Source organism: Homo sapiens, chromosome 18, assembly GCF_000001405.40.
Source record: "Homo sapiens chromosome 18, GRCh38.p14 Primary Assembly".
NCBI classification, from domain to species: domain Eukaryota; kingdom Metazoa; phylum Chordata; class Mammalia; order Primates; family Hominidae; genus Homo; species Homo sapiens.
In genome coordinates, this window is record NC_000018.10 from 12,401,529 (window position 1) to 12,407,327 (window position 5,799).

The following is a 5,799-nucleotide window of genomic DNA, read 5'->3' on the forward strand; positions in this document are numbered from 1 at the left end:
CACAACAAAGTCAAACAAAGACACTTCCTCAGGGGACATAAGTATACACAGCACTGTGATAGGTGCTATGGCAGAGGACAGCTCCACGGCATCCAGTAGTCACCTCTAAACCCGAGGTGGGGAGGGGGCTAGAAGCCTTCCCAGAAAGGAGGCCCTTTCCGGCTTCGCCGTCTTCATCTCCACTTGACTTTGGCCTCCCAGAGACGGCCAAGCCTACCTCCTGGACCTAGCTTGAGTTAAACGGTTTTGCCTCACAAATCTCAAATTCTAAAACCTGTCTGAGCTCACCATGAATTATAAAGCCTTTTGTAATTCATGTGACAACTTGTGCCATGAGCTGTGGCTCCCGTCTCCCTTTCTGGACTCAATTCTTGCCATTTGCCATGGGACCCTACAGTCCAGCCTCCAGCTTCTGGGCCTTGTGTATTCTGCTCTCCTCCCAGGAGGATGCCTCCAGGACCAGCACAGAGCAGGGCTCTCTGGGTGGAGGAAACTGAACCAGTTCCTGGGATGAAGAAGGTGAGGGCATGTGCAGGAATCACCATAGCTCAGGTAGGCTGAGGCCAGTGCCCCTAGGACGGGGAGGGGTCTCCTTTAGTGTCAGCGTCTCCCGGAGAGCTGGTCAAACCACGAGTTCCCGGGCCCCACCCCAGAGATGCTGCATCCTGGGTGTGAGGCGGGGCCTGAGAGTTTACCTTTCCAACACACTCCTGCGCGATGCAGCTGGCTCTGGACCATGGGAGGTGACACGGAGTGAGGAACAGGGAGAGACAAGAATAGAATGTGGACTTAAAAAAAGATGTATCTGTCAGCATAGGACTTTAAGATGAACTTTATTTATTTATCGTGTACCTACTATGCTTCTGACTCTGGAAACAGCAAGAAGAAAAATAACATAGTTCTTGATCTCAGAATAATTTTAGGTCTGGTGCCATGGCTCATAACTGTAATTCCATAAAATGACAGCACTTTTGGAGGCTGAGGTAGGAGGATTGTTTGAAGCCAGGAATTTGAGACCAGCCTGAGCAACTAAGCAAGACCCTGTCTCTACAAAAAAAGAAGAAGGAGGAGGAGGAGGAGCAGGAGGAGGAAGAGGAGGAGGAGAAAAAGAAGAAAGAAGAAGAAAAAGAAAGAAGAAAGAAAAAAGAGTCAGGCGTGGTGGCACACCCCTGTAGTCCCAGCTACTCAGGACAAGAGGCTGAAGCGGGGAGGATCCTTTGAGCCCAGGAGTTCAAGGCTGCGGTGAGCTATGATCACACCACTTCACTTCTGGCCTGCCTGGACCACAGAGAGAGACATAATTTTTTAAAAAAAGAGAAATTTTTTTAGCCCAGTGGGAGAAGCAGAGAAATACGCAGATGATTTTAACACACTGTGGTGAGTCTGAGGGAGGTGCATCCGGGTGGATGTGTAACTGCAGAGGGGAAGCTGCAGAGGAGTGACCACATCTGCCCCAGGGCTTGGACGCCCAGTGGAATTCCGATAGCAGGGTGTGAAGTAGATTTGAGGGTGAGGCTGGATGCTGTGGCTCACGCCTGTAATCCCAGCACTTTGGGAGGCCAACGCTGGTGGATCACCTGAGGTCAGGAGTTCAAGACCAGCCTGGCCAACATGAAATACTAAAAATACAAAAATTAGCCGGGCATGGTGGCTGGTGGTGGGTGCCTGTAATCCCATCTACTTGGGAGGCTGAGGCAGGAGAATTTCTTGAACCTGGGAGGCGGAGGTTGCAGTGAGTTGAGATCGCATCACTGCACTCCAGCCTGGGCAACAAGAGCGAGACTCTATCTCAAAAAAAAAAAAAAAAAAAAAAGATTTGAAGGTGAGGGTGGCAGGGGAAGAGGCAGAGAACATTGAGACTGTGTTGTAATAGTCCAGGGATTGAAGTCTGTTCTCATTTCATTACAGTTTTCCGTCTGTCCAGCTCCACCACTAAATAGTGTCTTTATTCCGAGGAGCTACCTGATTTGGGACTCAGTCTTCCTACAAGGCAAAAAGAGAAGACCTGGATGCTCCACGTGGTCCAGACATGGAGCAAGTAAACCGAGCTCTCGCCACACCGCACAGTCTCCTCAGCCTCCTGCTCAATGTGCTTTCATTGGAAATGCTTATTGTAAATGATGACACTTTTTTAAAACCAAAATTCAATTAAATTCAATACATATTTATTGGGCACATGCTTCATTTAAGTTCCTGGTTTACAAAGATCCATTCCTACCCCTGAGGACCTCATAATCTGTGGGAGACATAAATAGAAACAGCTGAGAATGATCATATAAAATCCACACATAGCCTCTTGCACACATATCCCAGAAAGGAAAGGACAAAACTTTAAACGCATCCATGCCTTTGGTTTTGGAAATGTTACGGATTTTGAGAGTATCAAATGCAGTACATTCTCCTATTATTGAGAGTTAGGTAGCTCAGACAATCTTCTACAGAGATATGAAAAGATAGGTTGAAAAAATAAGTCTCCAGTTTCTTTGGAGTTTGCTGTTTAGGAAAAAATGCAACGTAAGTGTCTCAGGGTTGGCTGGGTATGATGACTCATGTCTGTAATCACAGTGACTCAGAAGGCTTCAGTGGGATGGATGGTTGAGTCCAGGAGTTTGAGACCAGCCTGAACAACATAGCAAGAGCCCGTCTCTAAAAACATTTTTTTTTAATTAGCTGGAACGGTGGCACGTAACTGTAGTTCCAGCTACTTGGGAGACTGGGGCAGGAGGATCACTTGAGCTGAGGAGGTCAAGGCTGCAGTGAGCCATGATCATGCCACTGCACTCCAGCCTGGGCAACAGAACAAGACCTTGTCTGGAAAAAAACAGAACAAAACAAAAAACCCACAAAAGTTACAGGTTGAAGTAGACAATATGGTACTAAGATTCATAATAAAATAATGGGAATCACTTATGTACTCTATTTTACTTAGTCATTGCATTTAAAATCTGTGATGAAATATACAATTATAGGAATAATGTAATTTAAAACCAGTGAAAGGCTGGGCATGGTGGCTCACACCTGTAATCCCAGCACTTTGGGAGGCTGAAGGAGGTAGATCACTTGAGGTCAGGAGTTTGAGACCAGCTTGGCCAACATGGTGAAACCCCGTCTCTACTAAATATACAAAAAATTAGCCAGGCGTGGTGGCGTGTGCCTGTAGTCCCAGCTACAAGGGAGGCTGAGGCACAAGAATTGCTTGAACCTGGGAGGCAGAGGTTGCAGTGAGCCGAGATCACACCACTGCACTGCAGCCTGGGTGACAAAGCAAGACTCTGTCTCAAAACAAAAAAAACAAACAAACAAACAACAGTGAAAGACAGAACTGGTAAGAAGAAATCAGATCTGCCTTAAATTTGGGATCTGCTAAAATAGTGGCTCTGTGATACATTGTAGCAAGTCAATGGATAGCCTCTGCCTTTAGGCAAAGCGATGAATATTAATCACGAAAGCTCCCCCAGTTTAAGCAATCTAGTAGGCAGAACCAAATTCGGCATATTGTAAGAGCTCTGGTCTTCCAGCCAGAATGCCTGGTTTCTGATTGCAGCTGTTACTTCCTAGCTGTGTGTTCTTGGAGAAGTTACTTGATCCTCCTGTGCCTCAGTCCCCTTGACAGTAAAATGAAGATGATGGTAATAGTATCTGTCCATGACTAAATGAGTCACTCCACAGCCCAAGGCAAATGCTCCATCAGTGCTCAATACTATAATTGTGATCATGCTGGTGTTAAGCATCCAGGTTTGGGGTTAGGATCTATCTAGGAAATGATTCCTGACAAAGTTTTCAGAGATCCTGGAATCCGTTGATGAGGGTGGTTGCAGTGTCTCCTCTCTAGAATATTTTAGAAAAGAAAAGGCTAAGAGGCTGGACCGGGTGGCTCATGCCTGCAATCTCCGCACTTTGGGAGGCTGAGGAGTGTGGATCACTTGAGCCCAGGAATTTGAGACCAGCCTGGCCAACGTGGTGAAACCTTGTCTCTACTAAAAATACAAAAATTAACCCAGGATGGTGGTGCGTGACTGTAGTTCCAGCTACCTGGGAGGCTGATATGGGAAGATTGCTTGAGCCTGGAAGGCAGAGGTTGTAGTGAGCACTCCAGCTTGGGTGACAGAGTAAGAACAAGAAAAAGAAAGAAAGAAAGAAAGGAAAGAAAAGGAAGAGAGGGAGGGAGGGAGGAAGAAAGAGAGAGAGAGAAGGAAGGAAGGAAAGAAAGAAAGAGAAAGAAAGAAAAAGAGAGAAAGAAAAAGAAAAAGAAAGAAAGAAGAAAGAAAGAAAGAAAAAGAAAGAAAGAAAGAAAGAAAGAAAGAAAGAAAGAAAGAAAGAAAAGAAAAGAAAAGAAAAAAGAAAAAAAGATGCTAAGGGATAGTTATCTGGCTAGCCTTAGCTAGTGATAGAAGGAACGGATGTTCTAAAGATACTAGTAAACCGTAATGTCCACACATGGATGCATCTAATCCTTACCACACACCAGTGGGGTGGGCAGTATGATCCTCATTTGACAGGTAACAAGACGGACTGGATGAATGAATGTTCCACAGCTAGATCTGTTCCTACTCCTAGAGGATAATAAATGGCAAGACTGGACTTTGAAATCAGGATGTGGCTTTGAATTCTGGGTGGGATAACTCCTAGATATGTGACCTGGAACAAGCGTGTTGCCTCATGTTTTTTCAATAGTGCTTGGCATACAAGAAGTGTTCAACAGCTGGCCCAGTGATAATCTAGAATCAGTGCAGCACAGTGGGGAGGGGGAATCTTGTAACCTGGGTTCTCACCTCAGCGTGTGATCATGGGGTAGAGAGCTTTGAAACCTGCTTGAACTTCAGTTAACTCATTTGTAAAACGGGAAGAATAGCACCAACTTTGGAAGATCATCCTGAGCTTAACGCTGTAGGAGGTAGAGGTCAATGTGAGTGGACGGTGGAGCCAGGACTGTAGCCCAGGTCTTTCGGGTCATGCTGTGTGCTCTTCCACTTCCCTGCCTCACTGCACAAATGCGCTCCCCACGCCCACGGACGCCCCAGGGGCGCCAGGCGCTGCTCTAGGCTGAGACTCAGCCGACTCAGACAAGGGCCCTGCCCTCTCGCCCTATCTCATCCTGGAGAAGAGTACCCTCTTCTTAGAACAAGCATCTCACTTCCGTGCACTTCAACTTCGTTTGTGGCAGTGCAGGGTACTTTGCAAAGCTAAAAAGTAGTTTATGCGAAAGGGAGACTCTTTTTCCTTAGAGGATTTGCCAAGTTGTAATCACAAATTCTTTTTGAGATACACGTACATTTTTTTAAAGCTAAATAAGATTTCCCCCCAGTTTTATAACTCAAGAATGTATTTTCTCAAGGACTTGGGAGTCATCTCTTTGAAATGTCATCCCCGTCTCCCAGTTTTGTGGGAGGGTAGGAGCCCAGCTACCAGAGAGCACCTGGCTTCAAATTGTAAACCTACCTCCTGTCATAAAGGTATGAAAATTCATTTTTCCTTTGGATAAAGGCAATTAGCAAACGCAAATGGCCACTGCATTTACCAATGGCCACTCCATCATCAGGCGAATTTAGGATGAACTCTGCGACAAATGGTGTAGTGGAGTCCCCTCCCCGGAGGGCTGTCTCGTTTACCTCGGGAGCATGCGTGGGGTAGGTTGCATCCTCCCGGCTGTTTGATACAGGCTGAGATTTCTGTCTTTGCAGCCTATTTGGCGGATTGCTTGTGATGCACATCACATGCTGGTTTTGTTTTGTTTTGTTTTGTTTTGTTTTGTTTTGTTTGAGACGGAGTCTCGCTCTGTTGCCCAGGCTGGAGTGCAGT

The 5,799-nt window shown here is 46.1% G+C and overlaps 1 annotated feature.

Moving 5' to 3' along the window:
- Positions 482-776: a silencer, noted in NCBI's record as "tiled region #1882; HepG2 Repressive non-DNase unmatched - State 10:DNaseD". NCBI's record gives its function as "represses a minimal TATA promoter and a strong SV40 promoter by Sharpr-MPRA in HepG2 cells {active_cell/tissue: HepG2}" and the evidence as "EXISTENCE:reporter gene assay evidence [ECO:0000049][PMID:27701403]".